The sequence below is a fragment of the Homo sapiens genome, chromosome 14 (assembly GCF_000001405.40).
Source record: "Homo sapiens chromosome 14, GRCh38.p14 Primary Assembly".
NCBI classification, from domain to species: Eukaryota; Metazoa; Chordata; class Mammalia; order Primates; family Hominidae; genus Homo; species Homo sapiens.
The window spans coordinates 76,880,968-76,903,363 of NC_000014.9; the positions used below are offsets into that span (position 1 = coordinate 76,880,968).

At 50.4% G+C, this 22,396-nt stretch overlaps 2 pseudogenes, besides 1 other annotated feature; one reads left to right on the forward strand and one right to left on the reverse strand.

Annotated features, from left to right (window-relative positions):
* Positions 3,263-4,080: an enhancer, noted in NCBI's record as "H3K27ac-H3K4me1 hESC enhancer chr14:77350573-77351390 (GRCh37/hg19 assembly coordinates)". NCBI's record gives its function as "activates a minimal SCP1, AML or CMV promoter by ChIP-STARR-seq in naive and primed H9 embryonic stem cells {active_cell/tissue: H9 hESC(naive and primed)}" and the evidence as "EXISTENCE:reporter gene assay evidence [ECO:0000049][PMID:30033119]".
* Positions 5,353-5,805, reverse strand: RPL22P2 (ribosomal protein L22 pseudogene 2; annotated as a pseudogene).
* Positions 9,296-9,646, forward strand: RN7SKP17 (RN7SK pseudogene 17; annotated as a pseudogene).

Genomic DNA, 22,396 nt, shown 5'->3' on the forward strand with positions numbered 1-22,396 from the left:
AGGAGTTTGAGACCAGCCTGGGCAACATGACAAAACTCCATCTCTACACGAAGTACAAAAATTGGCTGGGCATGGTGGTGAGCACCTGTAGTCCCAGCTACTCAGGAGGCTGAAATGGGAGGATTGCTTGAGCCCAGGAGATCAAAGCTGCAATGAGCCGAGATCACGCCACTGCACTCCAGCCTGGGCCAGAGTGAAACTCTGTCTCAAAAAAACAAACAAACAAACAAACCCACAATCACATCCTATGTCTAGGATGAGTTGATTTCTCTGTTACTTGTAGCCAAAAGCCCCCTAGGACATTCGGGCCCCTCCATGTGTCCCTGCACACTAGCATCCCTCTGTGATTGTTGTCTGCTGGCATGTTTTCCTCCCCTACTGGCCTGGCAGCCCCTTGAGTCCAGGGCTGTGCTTCCCCTGGTGGATCTGCCTACTTAGCGTGGGACAGAGGAGAGGCTCAGAGAGGATTCTAATGAATACATTTAAAGGACAGTGAGACCGCTCTCAGCAGCCCAGCTGTGGGGTTTCCTGAACGCCTCTCTGGCAGACACACCGCCCCAGTAGGCTGGCAGTGCCTGGTGTAAATATGTCTGGGGTGAACACCCTCAGATGCTTGAGACAACAGAAGTGTTGGCCTGGAGGCTGAGGTTCCAGCAAAACTGTGAAAGCAGATGATCCAGCTGCACCGTGAAAGCCAAGGACTGAATTGCTCCATGGAGCAAGATTGGAAGCACGCTACAAATGTAGTTATTTCTTCCAGGAAAGGCCTCCCTATTGAAGCCCTCCCTGCTACCCAGCCCATGCAGGGCCAGACTCCTCCAGCTGCCCATGACCCCTGCCTTACGGGGCTGGGGAAGTAAGAAGCCACCCAGGAACCAGCTGGCCCAGTGAGGTCTTCCATGGAGGAGGGACCTTCCCAAAGCCTCAGGAGTGGGGACTCTTGATAGGGGGACGGAGAAGGGGAGACAGGGTGTCCTTCCCCCTTTCCCTAAGCTCCTTCCATGAAGTCAAGGCCAGTGCTATCTGCTTTCCAGCCTAGACTGGGTGCAGGGCTCTATCTGGGTCTGTTCCCAGGACCTTCACCAGCCTTCCAGAAGTTTGTCAAGAGAGACCTCGGGTGACAGTGAGGTAGTGTGCGCAGTGGTTTAGCGCACAGGCTCAGGATCAAGCTGACCTGTGTTGGGATCCTGACCCAATGGTCTCCTTTCTTCCCGTATTACCTATGGAGGTCCTATTATGTGCCAGGCACTGTGCGTAGCACCAGAGTCACGATGTTGAACATCGCATTGGCCAGACATAAATGCACATGGCAGCTCTGCTCAGTGACACAGAGCTTAGAGCCTTAATCAGGGAGGTGCACATTACACAAGTAGCCCCCATACATTCCCACTGTGACGACCCCCACATGTGGGCGACATAGTGGCTCTGTGGGCTGGAAGCAGTGGCTCGATTATCTGAATCTCGTTATTATAATAAGAGGACCCCTCTCCTTGGCTTTTGTGAGGATAGGTGCAGGAGGTGCCCCGAGACCACTTTGCCCCTCACCAGGCCCTGACTAAGTGCTCCCTGGTAGGAGGGGTGGTGGGTCTTATGGTCCCTGAAGCTGGTGGCAGACCTGGAAGCCTGGACCATTGGCTGCATCCTGCGGGGCCTGCCAGGGCAGAGTGGTCATTCCACCTTCCCCAGGGCCTGGCCTTTCTCTGCTATTGGAGAGATCATTTCCAGACCCTGTGGATGGCCTGCCTGCTTCTGCTTCCCCTGACTTCAGCCCAGCTGGGGCTGCCAGAGTCAAGCAAATCCTGGATCCCAATCCAAAGCCCTGGCCTCTCCCTCGTTCAGGGAACTGAACAGCCCAAGGGTGGCCATCCTGCCTGGTTGCTGGTGGAGCCAGCTGCTATGCATCGGCTGCAAAGAACAAAGTGCCCCAGCTGTGGCTGCAGGGAGGCCTGGCCTGGAACTGGCAAAGTGCCCCCAAAATCCGCTGGCTCCCTCCCCTCAGGAACGCTGGCGCTAATGGGTAACAGAAGGCCAAGGCAGGGACTTCTCCCTGGCCCACCAGGAACACTGAGACTAACAGATCCTGGGCAACGCAGGGGAAGCCCTGGACTCAGCCACCACCATCAGCCCTCCCTTGGCCAACTGGGATGGGTGGGACTGCATGGGATCGGGAGGCCCCAGTCCTCCCCGTTGCCTCAGTTTCCCCGGGAAGAAGGTCGAGATGGAGCATTAGACACTTCCACTGAGGAGACTGTGAGAAGCGAAGGAGAGGGTAGGGTGGAGGTCCGCTCAGACTTGCCTTCCAGCCAAGGTCTCCACCGCATCTATGGTCCAGGAGAGAGACGGCGAGGCCGAGGAGGGCCTAGGGCTTTCCGGGGGCAGGGCCAGTTTTGTGGGTGTTCAACCTGTGTGGTCACACGAGGCTCCGCACATGGAAGGATCGGCCACTTGGCTTCATGCTCTGTTGTCTCCGTCTTGAAATTCTTAACAATTTTTTAACAAATGGCCCACACATTATCTAGCAGACCCCATCTAGGGTGAGGACATTTATACACAAAGGGCCTTCCTGTCTGGGAAACAGAATCGGAGGGTGTTGGAACAGACAACCCATCCTTCTGCCCCGCCCCAACCCCCACCTCTCCACAGCTGGAAGGAGAAAGATGAAGAACCCAGCAGGGCCTCCTTTCGAGGTTGGCCAGGTGGCACGTGGGTTTCCGGAAGAGAGGAGAGAGAGGAAACAGCCCTGACCTCCACAGGCTGCAGGTGGGGTCAGGAAGAAAGAAGGGCAGGGGCCAGGGGAAGATAGGCCCCTCCCTGCCAAGGCCCTCCATGGGTGGTGGGCAAGCAGGTGAGCCACTTCAGCTAGAACTCGCTGTTGGAGGAGGCTGCAGGTCTGAGGTGGGCACAAGGGGAGTGTGAGGCGGAGGGTGGCGGTGGTGAGGCCTGGAGCCAGGATAAAGCTCTTCAGGGCCTCCGCCAGCAGGGCCAGCCCAGGCCCGCTCTGACCTCTGGTCTTATTACAGAAAAGGGGTCCCGATGCAGACCCCAAGAGAGAGTTCTTGGATCTCGCGCAAGAAAGAATTCAGGGGGACTCCGCAGTGCAAAGCAAAAGCAAGTTGATTAAGAAAGTAAAGGAATAAAGAATGGCCACCCCATAGACAGAGCAGCCCTGAGGGCTGCTGATTGCCCATTTTTATGGTTATTTCTTGATAATATGCTAAACAGAAGGTGGATTATTCATGCCTCCCCTTTTTAGACCATATAGGGTAACTTTCTGACGTTGCCATGGCATTTGTACACTGTCATGGAGCTGGTGGGAGTGTAGCAGTGAGGACGACCAGAAGTCACTCTTGTCGCCATTTTAGTTTTGGTGGGTTTTGGCCGGCGTCTTTACTGCAAACTGTTTTATCAGCAAGGTCTTTATGACCTGTATCTTGTGCTGACCTCCTATCTCATCCTGTGACTTAGAATTCCTAACCGTCTGGGAATGCAGCCTAGTAGGCCTCAGCCTCATTTTACCCAGCTCCTATTCAATATGGAGTTGCTCTGGTTCACACCCCTTTGACAGTCTCAGCCAGTAGGCAATTCAGAAACTCCCCCAGCAGGCAGCCGGCCGGGTGCCTTGCTCCTCCAGCATGGGCCCAGCTGACTCCTGGTTTCCACCTCCTGGATGCGGCCGGCTGCTCTTGTGGCTCTCCTGTCCCTCACAGTTGGGCCAGGGTCAAGCAGTGCTGGGACATAAGCTGGCAGGAGGGGAGTGGGCCCCGGGTCCCAGACCAGGGCTGGAGAGGATCTGGGCTCCACAGAAGAGGGTGGGAAGGGAACCCCACCCTGTGTAGGAGGCAGGGAGAGTGGAGATGCAGCCCAGGGGATCTGCCTGAGGCCCAGCCCAGACACTGGCCCGACTCTCGGAAGCCAGACCACCCCGTCTGCCTTCCCTGGCAGAGCCGGACCAGGCTGGAGCCACAGTCCCTGGGCAGGGCACACTCAACATCCGCACCCTGGTTCCCTGAGGCTGAGGGCTGGACCAGCCAGACGCCTTCCTTTGCACCTCCAGGACCCAGGCTGCGAATCCCTTCCATTCAAACGCCCATGTTCCCGGGAGGCCGGGAGAGGGTGGGCTCAGGTCAGAATTTCATTCCTCACACTCGTCAGAGGTTTGTGAAAAGCCAGCCCAGAGGAAAGCCCAGAGGGCAGGGCGGGGGAGGAGACTGAAGGGACCGGCTGCGGGAGACAGGAAGGGTGGACCAACCCAGCACTTCCACACTGGGCCTGGGCAGGCCTCATCCCCAGCCCCACCTCTGCCTTCTCCTTCCCATTCCCAGCTCAGGCTCCTGGGCCCCTGGCACTTCCACAGCCCCTCCTGGTTTCCGGAGGTTTGCCGAGGCTGCTGCTCTGTCGCTGCCGTCCTTTCACGTATCCTCTCATTTTCACAGACAGGGAAACTGAGGCCCGAAATGTCAGTTGAGGCCAACAGCTAAGTGACAGGGCAACAACCCAAATGCCCAAGCCTTCTGCTGCCAGCTTCCCAGAGCCCTCTGGGCTGGGTGGCAGTGGCACAGAGCGATGTGGAGCTCTGGAGGCAGATCCCGGCTCTGCCACTCCCTGGCCTCAGGACCCCGGGCAACTCAGGGCAGCTTTCTCACCTGTAAAGGAGGAACTCATGGCCCCCTCCCAGGGTGACTGAGAACACAGGCTTCCGTAAGGATGAGGAGGGGCCGGGCACTCCTGGGTCATAGGAAGTGCTCAGCCAGTGGATACCACCCCTTCCACGGCAGAGACTGCCCATGCCTAACACATTTCCACTGCCATTGGCAATCCCAGGCTCGTTTCTCAGACTCAGGTATTTTCAGGCTAGAAAGGACCTGGAAACGTGTCCTTGGAAGAGCTCTGGACCCGTGTTTTTCCCTAAGCAGCTGGTCCAGCCACCGCAGACACAGATGACAGGTGTGCTGACTCAGTAGGACCCAATTCCAATTGCCTTCCATTGTTGAAAGAATCTAAAAGAACCTTGACTCCCCTCCAGGTCTACCCAATCTACAAACACTGCAGAGCACAAATGAATGAAGATTCATTGTCTCCTTTAAGAACCAGAGGGGTCCCCCTTCCCGTGCAGCAGGAAAAGCTCACACAGAATGAAAGCTATTAGGTTGGCAAATTTCTCCTTCCTCCTGGGGGTGAATTCAATTTCAGACCTGCCTAGGGATGGGGGATGGTGTCTTTCTTGTCCACCCACTCCACCTCCCCACCCATCTTGGGGAGAGAGGACGTGCCACTACTGAGCCCGGGCGTGATGTGTGGACTCTCCAGGTGACAGGGATTTTTTTTTTTTAGAGAGAAAATGCTCTTTTTTTTTTTTAGTTCCCAAGTTTTATTCAAGAACTCATACAAAATATTCCAGATAAATGAAATTTAATCCTCTTCTTCATCCTGGTTAATCTAGAAGTAATGTAATTCGTAACTCTCTTTGCTGTTAGCAAGTATGCGCAACCAGTCACATAGATTATTTTTCTTCAAATTTTTTTGGTGAGATACTTCAAATACCTTTTGGAGAAAGTCACCTTGGATGTCACAGTGATCTTGCTCTTGCTCCTTTCGTTGGTCACCACCCCTCCACCAAGGTTCCCAGCTTTTCCATTCACTTTGATCCTTTCTTGCAAAAACTGCTCAAAATTGGCAGCATCCATGATTCCATCTTCTACAGGGTGGGTGCAATCAAGAGTGAACTTCAGAACCTTCTTCTTTTTTTTGTCCCCCTTCGCCACAAGCTTTTTCACAGGAGCTATGGTGGCAGCGGAGTTAGAAAGGGAGCGAGAAAATGCTCTTTTTGTCTTTCCATTGAGAAGGCACCTCCCAGGCTGGTGTATCCAGGGAGTGGAGACCATCACCCTTCAACAGAAGCAATGAACTTTAGTGAACATCATGTTTACATGTGTTTTATGCAAAGCACCACGCTTGGTGGTACCATGGGGAACAAAGAGACAGCTAAGATAAAGTCCTTGCCCTTAAGGGTCTCTTAATATATTTTAGGTCACAGACACTTTTGAGAATCTTTGGAAAGCTATGAACTTGCCCCAGAAAAATGCAATGCACGCACACACACACACACACACACACACACACACACTCAGTTCTGTATCCATTTCAGAAGGTTTGCTGGCCCTCTGCAGCCAATCCGCAGACCTTCATAGACCCAGGATTAGGAAACCTTCCTTAAAGACGCGCACAATTATCTCTAGAAGAACAATCGATAGGCAATTTCAACAGAACACAGAAATGAAGCCAGGCTATGACAATGAGCCACCAACTGCTCTGGGATTGCAGCAGATGACATCAAGAATCGACATTGTGAATCTCCATCACGATCAGGGAGCCACAACCAGCTGGCCCTGGAGGACCGGCACCGTGAAGGGAAAGGGCCCAGAGCCTGAAGGCAGCACAGTCAAGCATCTGGGATCCACTCCAAGCCGAGAGAAGCAGGAAGTAACAGATCCTGAAGGCTCTAACAGAATTCTAAAGAATTCCAAATTATAGCTGCAAAGAAAGATACTTCTATCTGGATGTCCCTAGGAAGAAGATTGGAAAGCTCATTAGAACACAGGTTAATGTGTTAACTTTAACACAACCTCCTTTTCCTGAAATTCTTATGCACACTAAAGTTTATGTGCATAAACTGAGACCCTTAGTAGACAATGTATCCAAGGTTACACTGCCTGTTGGTGATAGGACTCGAACCCACAACCCCTAATTTCCCCCAAAATGGTCTTTCCTCAACACTGAGGCAATGGGTCTCCCAGAGATGATATTCACAAATTAATGCACACTAACGTTTATGTGCATGAGAATATCAGGGAAAGGAGGGAGTGTTCAAAGTGCAGACATATGCCCTTCCCCTCTCACTCTAGGGACACAAGAATCTGCCTTTTATAGCATCCCATGTAACGCAGCTAATCCACAGACCACATGTATGTGGCCTCTGAGTGAGGGGGAGCTCTCATGTTCAAGAAGATTCATCTTTGGGGGCTTCCTTTCTGGGTGAAAATCACAGAGCTACTAGCCTGATAGAGCGCAGATATAATCATGCCACCTCTCCCTGGAAGACAGCACATCATCTCTAAGCCTGCAGGACTTGGGGCTCCTGATGGGAAGGTGAGGGCAGGAGGACTGAGCTTGTCCTTCACTCAGGGAACAGGGTAGAAGCCAGAAGTTCCCTCTCTGCCAGCACCCTAGAAGACCCCTACTCATTTCCCAGCGCTGGGGGAGGGGCTGCTTCCTACCCCTCAAACCTTTTCCCCGCTAGCTGCGACAGATGCCAGCTCCACCACGTTGGTCATGCCCACTCCGGCCCCACCCTCATCTACGCTTGGACTTTGGGAACATCTAGTACCTGTGCTCACTGGGGGCCTCCCAAGCTGAGGACTGGCAGGGCTGAACCTGGGACTGGGGTTGGGAAGAGGAAGGTAGACAAGGAGGAGCAGGGAGCAGTTCAGAGCCAGAAGCGGTTCTGCACAGCTCTGCACAGCTCGGCGGGAAGAGCTGGCTCGAACAGGGCTCTGGCTAGGTAGACAGAGGGTCTGAGTCTATGCAGCTGTGAACAGTCCAGGATTGAAGGGGGAAGGGACACAGAAGGGAGGAGAGCACAAGCTCCAGGCCCCATGGCTCAGAGACTATCAGGCATTTGCCCTGGGCCAGCCTGAAGGTATAGGGGACAGCAGGTTTTGTTGCACTTGGAAACGAAGCTCAGTAGCAAGGAAACATGGGAATATACACATGTACACTCATGTACGCACATAGGTACACACACAGGTACACACCTGTTTGGAGGATGAGGATGGAATCACAGGATTCTGTCAAAAACTTCAGAGCTCACCTGGCCCAGCGCCCTCATTCTATAGGTAAAGAAACTCAGACCCATAAAGGACAATGTATCCAATGTTACACCGCCTGTTGGTGATAGGACTCGAACCCAGAGCCCCTAATTGCCCCCAAAATGGTCTTTCCTCAACACTGAGGCAATGGGTCTGGCCAGAGGTGATATTCACAAATTTTAACAACCTGCACAGCAACACAGCCCCAGCAATCAGAATGGACATTCCAACTGCGTTAGGATCCCGGAGGTCCGCTGAGATGCTCTTTTACTTGCTGGATTCAGAAGAAGTCTTGGGGTCCCAAGGAAAGCAGGCTAGGATGATGAAAGAGTATTCAAGGGGCTCAGGGATGGCTGTTTGCTAACTAGAATGAAAGTATTTCAATACATTAACAACACTGTATTGGTTGGCTGTCAGCCCTAGAGCCAGGAATCTCCTCGCCAGGGGAGCCGAAGGAAAGAGACCCATCCTTCTCCTTTATTATTATTATTATTTTTTTATTTTTTATTTTTGAGACGGAGTCTCTCTCTGTCACCCAGGCTGCAGTGGTGCAATCTTGGCTCACTGCAAGCTCTGCCTCCCGGGTTCACGCCATTCTCTTGCCCTGTGTGCTAAGCAAAAGAGTTAGGACTTAATCTTGAAAGTCATGGGTAGCCACAGAAGGATTCTAGAAGGAAAATTATTTGATCAGGTTTTCATTTTCTCTTTTTCTTTCGTTCTCTCTCTCTCTCTCTCTCTCTCTCTCTCTCTCTTTCTTTAGCTCACTGTAACCCAGAATTCCTGGGCTCAATTGATCTTCCCACCTCAGCCTCCCGAGTAGCTGGGACCACAGGCACCTTGCTAACAGATTTTTATTTTAGAAAGATTACTTTGGCCAGGCACGGTGGCTCATGCCTGTAATCCCAGGACTTTGGGAGGCCGAGGTGGGTGGATCACCTAAGGTCAGGAGTTTGAGACCAGCCTGACCGACATGGAGAAACCCTGTCTCTACTAAAAATACAAAAAAATTAGCCAGGGGTGGTGGCATGTGCCTGTAACCCCAGCTACTCGGGAGGCTGAGGCAGGAGAATCGCTTGAACCCAGGAGGCGGAGATGCAGTGAGCCGAGATTGTGGCACTGCACTCCAGCTTGGGTGACAGAGTGAGACTTTGTCTCAAAAAAAAAAAAAAAAAAGAAAAAGAAAAAGAAAAAGAAAGATTACTTTGGCAGTGATATGAAGGGTAATTTGGAAAGTGGTATATTAGTTATCTATTGCTACATAGTGTATTATCTCAAAACTTAGCAGCTTAAAACAATGAATATTTACTATTTCACATGGTTTCTGAAAGTTAGGAATCTGGCAGCAGCTTGGTTGTCATTCAGGGCTTCCTACGAGGTTGCAGACAAGCTGTCTAAAGGCTTGACTCGGCCAGCAGATGTGCTTCTAAAATGGCCCACTTCGATCCGGCTATGATATCTGTCACACCATTGATTGCCAGGGTTGATTCAGCTGATCTGGATGGTGCGGCAGGTGTCCCCTTCCTCTCTCACTGCTCCACATATGTCCTTCCCGAAGCTGTGCGCTAGGTTGAAGAGGACGACCTTCCCCGATAGAGGGCTGTTCTTTGGTCAAGGGTATGTGAGTGGCTGTGCTCCCCTGCTAGAACCTCCAAACATGGCCCACTCATCTGCCATTCACAGAAGGCCTCAGTTCCTCACCCCATGGGCCTCTCCATGGTGCTGCTTGCAACATGGCAACGAACATTGGAGCCAGTGATCCAAGAGGGAACATGGGGGAAGTCCCAGTGCTATATGACCCAATCACATACAATCACTTCTGCCATATTCAATCTGTTAGAAGTGAGTCAGTAAGTCTAGCCTCCACTCAAGGAAAGAGGAATGAACCTCCATCTTTGGGAGGGAAACCTGTTGAAGTTCTGCAGATATATTTTAAAACTGCAGGCCAGGTGTGGGGCTCACGCCTGTAATCCCAGCACTTTGGGAGGCCGAGGTGGGTGGATCTCCTGAGGTGAGGAGTTTGAGACCAGTCTGACTAACATGGTGAAACCCTGTCTCTACTAAAAACACAAAAATTAGCTGGGCATGGTGGCACATGCCTGTAATCCCAGCTACTTGGGAGGCTGAGGCAGGAGAATCACTTGAACGCGGGAAGTGGAGTTTGCAGTGAGCCGAGATCACGCCATTGCACTCCAGCCTGGGCAACAAGAGCAAAACTGTCTCAAACAAACAAACAAACAAAAAAACCCTGCAAGGTGGTTAACTAGCCCATAGGCAGAGAGACCAGTTAGATTACAGGAGTGTACCAGGAGAGAAATGTAATGGTCTGAACCAAGACAGGAGCACTGGAATGGAGAGGAGGGGCATCTTGAAAAGTTGTTACTAGAGAGATGGCTTATGGGGTGCAGGGAACTGTGATAGGCCAGGGCCAATTGGCAGGAGCAGCCTTTGGAGCACACGCCCTTGGAGGCAATACCCCAGACATCCAAGGTCAGTCTGAACTGCCTCCACCTGCAGACAGAAGGGTGGTGGGCAATGCTTGACCAACAGGCCCCCGAAAATCTTGGATTATGGTAGGTTTCTGCAGCAGCTTGGGGGTGGAGCCAGCACTAATCAGACTGGAACTTCCTGGACCCCAGTGGTGAGAGCCTCCAGAATAAGATTAGGATGAAAACAGCTCCCCCCTAAACCACACAGAACACAGGAACTGCTGGTAGACAATCATAACGGCAAAGCAACACATTCTGAGTCAATATGTCAATGACAATAGCTTCACCAAACATTCTGGATGTGGCAAGTATCTGTGTTCACTCACTCAACAAAGATTTGCTGAATGTCACCATGTCCCAGGCATTCTGCCAAGCCCTGAAGAGAAAACCTAAGATTTTTTTTCTAATTTTATTTATTTATTTTTTAGTTATTTTTATTTTTATTTTAATGGAGACAGGGATCTTGCTAATGTTGACCACTCTGGTCTCAAACTCTTGGCCTCAAGCAATCCTCCTACCTCAGACTCCTAAGGTGCTAGGATTATAGGCATCACAGTGCCAGGCAAAACTAGGATTTTTTTTTTTTTTTTTTGAGACAGAGTCTTGCTCTGTGCCCAGGCTGGAGTGCAGTGGCGTGATCTCAGCTCGCTGTAACCTCTGCCTCCTGGGTTCAAGCAATTCTCCTGCCTCAGCCTCCCCAGTAGCTGGGATTACAGGAATGCACCACCACGCCGAGCTAATTTTGTTTTTTTAACGGACTTTTGCTCTTCTTGCCCAGGCTGGAGTGCAATGGTGCAATTTCAGCTCACTGCAACCTCCGCCTCCCAGGTTCAAGCGTTTCTCCTGCCTCAGCTTCCCGAGTAGCTGGGATTACGGGTGCAAGCCACCACATCCAGCTAATTTTGTATTTTTAGTAGAGATGGGGTTTTACCATGTTGGCCAGGTTGGTCTTGAACTCCTGACCTCCAGTAATCCACCCCCCCTCAGCCTCCCAAAGTGCTGGGATTATAGGCGTAATTTTTGTATTTTTAACACAGATGGGGTTTCGCCATGTTGGCCAGGCTGGTCTCGAACTCATGACCTCAGGTGATCCACCCACCTCGGCCTCCCAAAGTGCTGGGATTACAGGCATGAGCCACTGTGCCCGGCCCAAAACTAGGATTTAAAATAAAATCAGACTGCTCAACAGTGATGCTGAAAGCTAGAAGACAATGGAACAATACTTTGAAAGTTCTGAAAGAAAATTATGTCTAACCTGCAATTTTATATCCAGCCAAACTATCAATCAGCATGTGAGGAGAGTAAAAACATGCAAGGCTTCAAAATTTTTACTTCTAATGCACCCTTCCCCAGGAAGATATGAAAGACTTGTTCCACCAAAGAGAGAGAGAAAGAAGTCTCAGGGTAATGGAAAAGAAACAACTCTAAGATGCCAGCCAAGTCAACAAGTTCAATTTGAAGCAAGAAAGTCTTCAGGAGGGAGGTCTTTAAGAAAGAGAACAAAAACTCTTGTGCCAGGTGCAGTGGTTTACACCCGTAATCCCAGCAGTTTGGGAGGCCAAAGCAGGTGGATCACCTGAGGTCAGAAGTTTGAGATCAGCCTGGCCAACATGGTGAAACCTCGTCTCTACTAAAAATACAAAAAAAAAAAAAAAAAAAAAAAAAAATTGAGGTCTCACTCAAAAGAAAAAAAAATACTGTTGCATTACGAGGTCAAAATTGTTTTTCTCTTTTTTAGATGGAGTCTCTCTCTGTCACACAAGTTGGAGTGCAGTGGTGCATGCAGTCTTGCTTACTGCAACCTCCACCTCCCGGGTTCAAGTGATTCTCCCACCTCAGCCTCCCAAGTAGCTGAGACTACAGGGGCCTGCCACCATGCCTGGCTAATTTCTTTGTATTTTTAGTAGAGATGAGGTTTCACTATATTAGCTAGGCTGGTCTCAAACTCCTGACCTCAGGTGATCCACCCACCTCAGCCTCCCAAAGTGCTGGGATTACAGGCTTGAGCCACCGGGCCATAGAGATAAATTAGTAAGATAAATTGTGTAAGAGAGGAGATACAATCACAGTACACAATAGGTCAGCTGTGAACAGTTTTACATATACACACAATGCAAACACTAAATAATGGTTTAACTAAAGCTGTCACAGGAGGATGGGTGTCAAGGAAGTGTGTTGAGCTTGGAAACAGGTTGTGTGGTCAGGTCTCCCAGCTTAGGAGAGCTGGATCCTAAGATTCCACTATAGAAAGTCTATTGATAATATCTAAATTTTATAAATAAAATAGAGGTAAAAGCATGTTATTTAGAAATCTGGAGGTAAATTGCATAAGAAAAAACTTAAAAGGTTAAACATGGTTTTTTCAATTTCAGGAGGAGAAATTGAGGTAGGGAAGTTTCACTATAAGTCGTATCATACATTTAATTTTATAAAATACATATGCCTATTACGTTGATTAAAACAAATTTTTAAAATATTTTAAAGAATGGCTAGAGTTAAAGGAGTAGGACTAACATATGTAGACAACACTGTCCTTTTCCACAAAGAGAAGAGAGAGGTTGTGGTCTCCATACCCAGTGAGCAGGTTTTAAGTGGAAAACAGAGTCAGAAGTCTTCTTTGCTGAGTCACAAAAGATCCAGGTGTAAAAAGGTCTAGCTCCTGTACTTGGGGGAAACTACATCACTGCCCTCCATGTAGTGGCAGGTGAAGAACTAAGAGCCAAGGAAGTCAGCTAAGGTTTCTGCAAAGCAGTATCTGAGCCCGAGTTGAATTTTTTATCCATGTCATAAGGTTTACTTGATAAGTCACACTGGGTTTATGTTTCCTAAAGAGTCTGTGATTGGTTCCCCTTTTCTCCTTTAGATTTAGAACAGTCTTGGAAAGACCCAGATAGTCTTGATCATGTAAACGGGCACCAAGGTGAGGTGCTAAGCCTTCAGTCAGTGTGGGAAAAGGAGAGCAGCACCCCATGGTAGAATCCAGTCTGTCGTTTTAGCCTATCCAGCGTCTAATTCCTCTTTCTGAAAGGACTCCGTCCCCCCGGCATTCTCAGCCCATGTGGGGCTGACCCCTCTGCCAAGCTTCATCAAGGAGCACCCAGGCCTAGCCAATGAAAGCACTGTGTATCCTTGACTATCATGATTGGTCAGAAGTGGGCATGTGACCTGGGCTGGACCAATGACAGCCCTCTCCAGGGTTTTTGCTGAACCTATTAGAGGAAAGGTGCTAGCTCACTGCTGGGGTTGCTATGAGCCCCCGATGCAAGTATGAAGTTGCTGATACTCATCTGGCTACCACCTAGTAAAAAACTACCTGAGAATGAAGGCTACTCAGGGAAAAGCAGCCCAGAGAAATGTAAGGAAAGAGGTTCCTGATGACATCATCTGCGAACCTCTCAATGTTTTAGTTACTTGAGTCAACAAATTCCCTTCTGGGGATTTTATGCCACTTATAACTGAGATTCTTGAGTGATACACCTTCCTGGAGACAACGTGGTAAAAGTGGGAGATCCCAAGGAAAAGGCAAAACACAAAGTCAGAATAACCAGGTTATCTAATCACCCATGATCTCCCAACCTCTGTGTTCTTCCGCGACTAACCTGATGCTGGGACCTTTTTTTTTTTTAATCAAGGTAGCTTATTGCCTCACAGGTACATACAGGAAAAGGCCTACTGCACAATCCTGCAAATACTCCTAATTAGGAGGGTCATGTGATGATATACCTGAGCGGCTCTCGTCCTCAGATATGTAAATGGCATCGAGTTCAGTCCTTAACTGATGCAAACATAGTCTCTTAATCTGGCCCCACTTAGAGCCATCAAGTCTCTGCCCAGACTCTCCCATGGGTGAGGACGGCCCCTGACTCATTGTCAATTCTTCCATTGAGCCAAGAAACAAGAGCACAGCTAGAAAGTTCTTCTTCTGTCTGACTGAGACAGTTTCTGTTTCTCTGCACCTTCCACGCTCCCTAGATCTGCTCTCCAGGGCAACATAGGAAAAGCGCAAACCCACTTCCAAAGACAGTCCTTCAAGTATTTAAGAAGCGCCGTCATGTTCCTTTTTACTAGTAAGGAGCGAGTTTGGCCGCATGAAGCAGAAACCATACGACCATGGCTTAACCAAAGGCAGAGATAGATATTTCTCACCTTACAATAAGGCTGGGGCTGGGCAGGCTGGAGCTGGTGTGACAGCTCTATGAGGTCCTGAGTGTCTTCATTTATTTTTCTCTTTCTGCTCTACCATCTTTTAAGTCACTTTTTAAATTTATATTTATTTATTTAATTTTGAGACTGAGTCTTGCCCCGTCGCCCAGGCTGGAGTGTAGTGGCACGATCTTGGCTCACTGCAACCTCTGCCTCTCAGGTTCAAGCGATTCTCCAGCCTCTGCCTCCCAAGTAGCTGGGATTACAAGCACACGATACCACATCCAGCTAATTTTTGTATTTTTAGTAGAGACTAGGTTTCACCATGTTGGCCAGGCTGGTCTCGAACTCTTGACCTCAGTGATCTGCCTGCCTCAGCCTCCCAAAGTGCTGGGATTACAGGTGTGAACCACCATGCCCGGCCTACCATCCTTAATAGGTAGCTTTCATCCTCATGGTTGCCTTGCAGTTATGGAGTGGGTGCTCCACCTTCAAACTCCAATCCACATCCCAAGCAGGAAGGAAAAAAGGGAAAGCAACAGGAAATAATTCCCAGAAATACCCAGCAGACTTCTGCTCATGTCATATAGGCCAGAAGTGTCACCCGTGGTCTCTCCAAGTTGCAAAGGAGTATAGTGTATCTTTTATTTGTTTAAATCTGGACACATCTCAAATAAAATGATGATGCTATTGATAAAGAAGAAAGGGAAAATGGGCATTGGGTAAGCAACTAACAGTTGCTTCAGAAGCTTTTTCAGACAAAATTCATTTATGGAGAGGCAGCATTGGAGGAAGGCTGAAGCCTTCACTTGGGGAAGGGGGTTTCAGACCCCCGACTTCAAGTCCAGGCTCACCACTTCCTTATCTGTGTGACTTTAGGAGATATTCTTGAGTTATTTGAGCTCCTGTCTGCTCATCTGTTTAATGAAGATAAATGCACTTTTCTCCAGGGCTTCTGGGATGATTAGAGCACCTCTGCGCAAAATGCCTTAACACTTTAGACAGGCAACAAATGAATTAACATTTTAATTCTTCTCTTACTTCCTGTAATTGCTCATCATGTGACATGTTTCTAGTCCTTTCCTCCTGGACATGCCCCCAGGTTCTGTTCTAATGTCTCTTTCTGGGTTTTTTTTGTTTGTTTGTTTGTTTGTTTTGAGACAGAGTCTCACTCTGTCACTCAGGCTGGAGTGCAGTGGCGTGATCTCGGCTCACTGCAACCTCTGCCTCCCGGGTTCAAGTGATTCTCCTGCCTCAGCCTCCCGAGTAGCTGGGACTACAGGTGCACGACACCACACCTGGCTAATTTTTGTATTTTTAGTAGAGACAAGGTTTCACTATGTTGGCCAGGCTGGTCTCAAACTCCTGACCTTGTGATCTGCCCACCTCGGCCTCCCAAAGTGCTGGGATTACAGATGTGAGCCACTGCGCCAGGCCTCTTTCTGGTTTTATTTTTATTTTTATTTTTTTTGAGACAGAGTTTCGCTTTTGTTGCCCAGGCTAAAGTGCAGTGGCATGATCTCGGCTCACTGCAACCTCCGCCTCCCGGGTTCAAGCAATTCTCCTGCCTCAGCCTCCCGAGTAGCTGGGACTACAGGCGTCCACCACTACGCCTGGCTAATTTTTGTATTTTTAGTAGAGACACTGTTTCTCCATGTTGGTCAGGCTGGTCTCGAACTTCTGACCTCACGTAATCCACCCACCTCAGCCTCCCAAAGTGCTGGGATTACAGGCATGAGCCACCTCGCCCAGCCTGTTTTTTGTTGTTGTTGTTGTTGTTTGTTTTGAGATGGAGTTTTGCTCTTGTTGCCCAGGCTGGAGTGCAGTGGTGAGATGTTGGCTCACTGCAACCTCTGCCTCCCGCTTTCAAGCGATTCTTCTCCTGTCTCAGCCTCCTGAATAGCTGGGATTACAGGCACGCGCCACCATGCCCAGCTAATTTTTTGTATTTTTATTTTTATTTTTTTTAATTTTTATTTTATTTTATTTTTTTTAGTATTTATTGATCATTCTTGGGTGTTTCTCGGAGAGGGGGATTTGGCAGGGTCATAGGACAATAGTGGAGGGAAGGTCAGCAGATAAACATGTGAACAAGGGTCTCTGGTTTTCCTAGACAGAGGACCCTGCGGCCTCCCGGCCTTCCGCAGTGTTTGTGTCCCTGGGTACTTGAGATTAGGGAGTGGTGATGACTCTTAACGAGCCTGCTGCCTTCAAGCATCTGTTTAACAAAGCACATCTTGCACCGCCCTTAATCCATTTAACCCTGAGTGGACACAGCACAGGTTTCAGAGAGCACAGGGTTGGGGGTAGGGTTATAGATTAACAGCATCCCAAGGCAGAAGAATTTTTCTTAGTACAGAACAAAATGGAGTCTCCCATGTCTACTTCTTTCTACACAGACACAGTAACAATCTGATCTCTCTTTCTTTTCCCCACATTTCCCCCTTTTCTATTCGACAAAACCGCCATCGTCATCATGGCCCGTTCTCAATGAGCTGTTGGGTACACCTCCCAGACGGGGTGGCGGCCGGGCAGAGGCGCCCCCCACCTCCCAGACGGGGCAGTGGCCGGGCGGAGGCGCCCCCCACCTCCCTCCCGGACGGGGCGGCTGGCCGGGCGGGGGCTGACCCCCACACCTCCCTCCCGGACAGGGCGGCTGGCGGGGCGGGGGCTGGCCCCCACCTCCCGGACGGGGCGGCTGCCGGGCGGAGGGGCTCCTCACTTCGCAGACGGGGCGGCCGGGCAGAGACGCTCCTCACCTCCCAGATGGGGTGGCGGCCGGGTAGAGGCGCTCCTCACATCCCAGACGAGGCAGCGGGGCAGAGGTGCTCCCCACATCTCAGACGATGGGCGGCCGGGCAGAGACACGCCTCACTTCCTAGACGGGATGGCGGCCGGGAAGAGGCGCTCCTCACTTCCCAGACTGGGCAGCCGGGCAGAGGGGCTCCTCACATCCCAGACGATGGGCAGCCAGGCAGAGACGCTCCTCACTTCCCAGACGGGGTGGTGGCCGGGCAGAGGCTGCAATCTCCGCACTTTGGGAGGCCAAGGCAGGCGGCTGGGAGGTGGAGGTTGTAGTGAGCCGAGATCACGCCACTGCACTCCAGCCTGGGCAACATTGAGCACTGAGTGAGCCAGACTCCGTCTGCAATCCCGGCACCTCGGGAGGCCGAGGCAGGCAGATCACTCGCCGTCAGGAGCTGGAGACCAGCCCGGCCAACACGGCGGAACCCCGTCTCCACCAAAAAATGCAAAAACCAGTCAGGTGTGGCGGCGCACGCCTGCAATCCCAGGCACTCTGCAGGCTGAGGCAGGAGAATCAGGCAGGGAGGTTGCAGTGAGCCAAGATGGCGGCAGTACAGTCCAGCCTCGGCTTTCACAACTTTGGTGGCATCAGAGGGAGACCGGGGACAGGGACAGGGACAGGGAGAGGGAGAGGGGGAGGGGGAGGGGAGGGGGAGAGAGAGGGAGCTGTATTTTTAATAAAGATGGGATTTCATCAGGTTGGCCAGGCTGGTCTCGAACTCCTGACCTCAGGTGATCCACCTGCCTCGGCCTCCCAAAGTTCAGGAATTATAGGCATGAGCCACCGCGCCCGGCCTCTAATGTCACTTTCTAAATGCAGCCCCAGGATGGAACACAAAACTCCCTTGTGTTTTGCAGAGTGGAGGACAATGGGCTATTTACTGTCCTTATTCCGGGCACTGTACTTCCTACTCACACTGCCTAGATAGCTGCCTTTGATAGCCTTGTGAGCCCAGATTGTGGCAGGTAAAGGGAACCCCACACTCACTTCTCCTCCTCTCTGGGCTCTTGGCCTGTTGAAAACAGACAGAAGGAGCTAAGTAGGGACCTGCACAGAAAGTCAGGCTTTATTACTGAAGAGCTGAATGCAGAATTGGCAGGGTCTCCGACTGCCTTCCTCGAATCTAGTCCTTGCACAACTCTGACAAATCTTCCAATTGCAGCTAAAGAACTTAGAACCCAGAGAGCAAGGACCCACCTGAACCTGCCGGCAGGAGAAGGCCTGCTCTGTCTGCTTAATCCAGGACAGCTGGAAGTAGAGCCCCAGCTGTACATCCTGCCTCCACCAGCACAGGTGAGCTGTGCCCCCTGCCACGCCCTGCAGGAGTGCTGTGTGCTCCCCAGGCTATCCCATCAGATGGGTGGCTTTGCCTGCAGCTAGAACAAGAGTGAGGAGGGCGGTGAAGGAGGCTATGGTAGGCCAAACAATGCCTGCCACCCAGAAGAAATCTACACCCTTATCCCCGGCACCTGTGAATCCATTACCCTATGAGGCAAAAGGACTTTGCTGTTGCAATTAAGTCAAGGACCTTGAGCTGGGGAGATTCTCCCCCATCATCCAGGTGAGCTCAATGTAATCACAAGGGCCTTTATAAGAGGAAGGCTGGGCGGTGGCTCACTCCTGTAATCCCAGCACTTTGGGAGGCTGAGACAGGCATTTCACCTGAGGTAGGGAGTTCAAGACCAGCCTGACCAACATAGAGAAACCTCGTCTCTACTAAAAATACAAAATTAACAGGGTGTGGTGGCACATGCCTGTAATCCCAGCTACTCGGGAGGCTGAGGCAGGAGAATCACTTGAACCTGGGAGGCAGAGGTTGCGGTGAGCTGAGATCGTGCCATTGCACTCTAGCCTGGGCAACAAGAGCGAAACTCTGGAGACTAGAAGGTCAAAAGTAGAAGAAGGAGATGGGACAATGGAAGCAGAGGTGGAGTGATGAGCTTTGAAGATGGAAGTAGGGGCCACAAGCCAAGGAATGCAGGCGGCCTCTAGAATCTGGAAAAGGCAAGGAAACGGATTATCCCCTGGCTAAACAGACTCTCCCCTTTGATTTTAGCCCCATAAGACTCATTTTGGACGTCTAACCTTCAGAACTATAAGATAATAAGTTTGTGTTGTTTTAGCTACTAAGTTTGTGATGACATGGTAGGAAACCAAAACGGGGCTGAAAAGAGAAAGGACCATGAGAAAAGTGGAAAGAAGAAATCCTCCCAACGATGTTGCATTTGCAGTCGCCAAAGACCCAGGAGGCTTCCCGGGAGCTCCAGGTATGTCCTTCCCACTCGCTTTGCCGCCCAGCTGTTTTTTCCATCCTCGGAGGCTCAGCTCAAATGTCACCCAACTAGTGTTGCCCTTCCTGGGCTAACCTGACCTGGCAGAGTTCCCCACCCCTTGCCCTGGTGCACAGGGCACTGTCTGTGGCAGTATTCTGGACAGCCCACCTTGGTACTGTAGTTTTTTGTCTGTCTTAGTCCCTTATTAGAGGGGGAGCTCCTTGGGGATTGGAGCTATAGTCATTTCTCCTAAAAGTGTGTTAGATTGAGTGGAATTAAGCCAAGCCCTCCACATCTTAGACTTGCACTACTGAGTGTCTGATTTCATTTCAACCCCGCCCAGCCTTTCAAAGCTCATTACCCAAAACAGAAGCTTTCCCTCTCTTTTAGTGTCCTCTCTTGGCCATCAGTGTAAATGTCACCATGGATACCTAGTATTTTGTTTGCCCACCGGCCATAGAAATCTTTCCCCCCAGAAATTTTCAATCAGGACCGAGAGTTTCCAGCCCAGGCTGACGGCTCCCCTGAATGGAAGACATGTAAGCCCAGCCACTGTTATTTTCACTGGATATTTTCTACCCCAAGTTCCGAGCATCCCAGAAAGCAGATGTGGGGAAGAAGCAGGAGGCAGAGGGCAGAAAGGAGAGGGAGGGCTTTCTGTGCTCCCACAGTGCCCTGTTCCTGGTTTTAGTCAATCCCTGAGGCCCAGTGGCATCTCTGCCCTGGAATTCCTGAGATGCCTCTGGGGTCTTTCCAAAAGATTCCTGTTTTGCTTAGCCCAGCCAGAGTTGATTTCCATCACTTGCAACCAAAGAAGTCCTATAAAACTTGGAATGAGCCAGCCCGAGCCAAGAACAGAGTGCTGGCACATTACATACATGATGTGTTCCCAAACCAAATATGGTAAAGCCATACAAAGAGGCCACGAGTGTGGCCACCCTGTTTATGCGGAACACTGTAGAAAATCCAGAAGGAGGAAAGGGGGCCTATTGTTCCATCTGTCTGGCTGTAGGGCAGGGGCCAGGAGGAGGCAGGAGGGCAAGATGGAACATGGAAACCAAATCATGGGGTGGCACAAAGCATGGGGTATGGCCAGGAATTGAAACAGTGAGGAGCAGAAGCCAAAGATGCCAGGATTCAATGCCCAGATAGAAAAGGCACAAACCGCAGGAGTGGGCCATGGTCCAACCAAGGGAGGAAGCTGCCCTTTGGGTACCAGAGAGTTCTGATTAATGCCCTAGGGCAGGATCTGTTCTTTGTGCGTGAACACCTCTCTTGAAGGCCCAGAATCCCTGCCACTGACACCACCCACCTTGGTAGACCCACTGAGTCATGAGTCTAGTTCCTAAGCCCTAGTCAAACCTCAGTCAGGATCACAAAGCTCATGCATTTGACTCATGGGGTAGTCTATGGTGCTGGATTCTGTACCTCTTTATTCTTCTTTTAGAAGCAGTCTTAGCAAGCTTAAGTAACTAGTTTCCCAGGCCATGATGGATTGGATTCGTGCATTAGAAATGGGGAGAGATGGCTGGGCGAGGTGGCTCACACCTGTAATCCCAGCACTTTGGGAGGCCAACGCGGGCAGATCACCTGAGGTCAGGAGTTCGAGACCAGCCTGGCTAACTTGGCGAAACTCCATCTCTACTAAAAATACAAAAATTAGCCGGGCGTGGTGGCAGGCACCTGTAGTCCCAGCTACTCAGGAGGCTGAGGCAGGACAATCGCTTGAACCCAGGAGGCAGAGGCTGCAGTGAGCCAAGATCATACCACTGCACTCCAGCCTGGGCAACAGAGTGGGACTCCATTTCAAAAAAATAAAATAAAATAAAGAAATGGGGAGAGATGGCTGGGCACAGTGGCTCACGCCTATAATCCCAGCACTTTGGGAGGCTGAGGTGGGTGGATTACCTGAGGTCAGGAGTTCAAGACCAGCCTGGCCAACATGGTGAAACCCTGTCTCTACTAAAAATGCAAAAATTAGCCGGCGTGGCAGCAGGCGCCTGTAATCCCAGCTACTCAGGAGGCTGAGGCAGGAGAATTGCTTGAACCCAGGAGGCAGACGTTGCCTTTTTGAAACTCTGTCCCGCCGCCTCCAAAAAAAAAGAAAGAAATGGTGAGAGATGCTATTAAGGAATCACCATCACAGCAACCAGAACTAATATGCTACAGCAGTGCTTCTTGGCCCCAGCCCTGATGACACTTGGGGCCAGCTCCCTCTTCACTGTGGGGGCTGTCCTTTGCCTTGCAGGGGGGTTACCAGTAGCACCTCCTCTATTTATGTCAACCAAAAATGTCTCAGATATTGCCACATGTCCTTGAAGGACAAAATCTCCCAGATTGTGAACCACTGTGCTGTAGGAAGAGAGTAAGCAGCAGTTACAAGTCCTCCAACTCCTGACAGCTCTCTTGCACTTCTGCCACGCAGACGAATAGTCCCCAAGAAGCTGCAGGATGGTGCTGACCAGCCCATCTGCAAAGACCCTGTCTCAGAAAGCGTGGGAAGTGTATGCCCAAAGGGTGACAGCGCTTCCCTGGGGAAGGTTCGAAGAAGGAATGTTTTTCTTCTCTTGGCATCTTTTGACAGTGCCTGGCACATGTTAGACCTTCAGTAAATATTTGAATATTTGTTAAGTTAAATTAGATTATAAAGGTTTCTAGGCTGATTCTGTACTGGTTTTGGACTTAGAAAGGGATGGATTGTTAAGCCTTTTTTTTTTTTTCAGACAAAGTCTTGTGCTGTCACCCAGGCTAAAGTGTCTTGGCACAATCACAGCTCACTGCAGCCTCTACTTCCTGGGCTCAAGTGATCCTCCCCTCCCAACC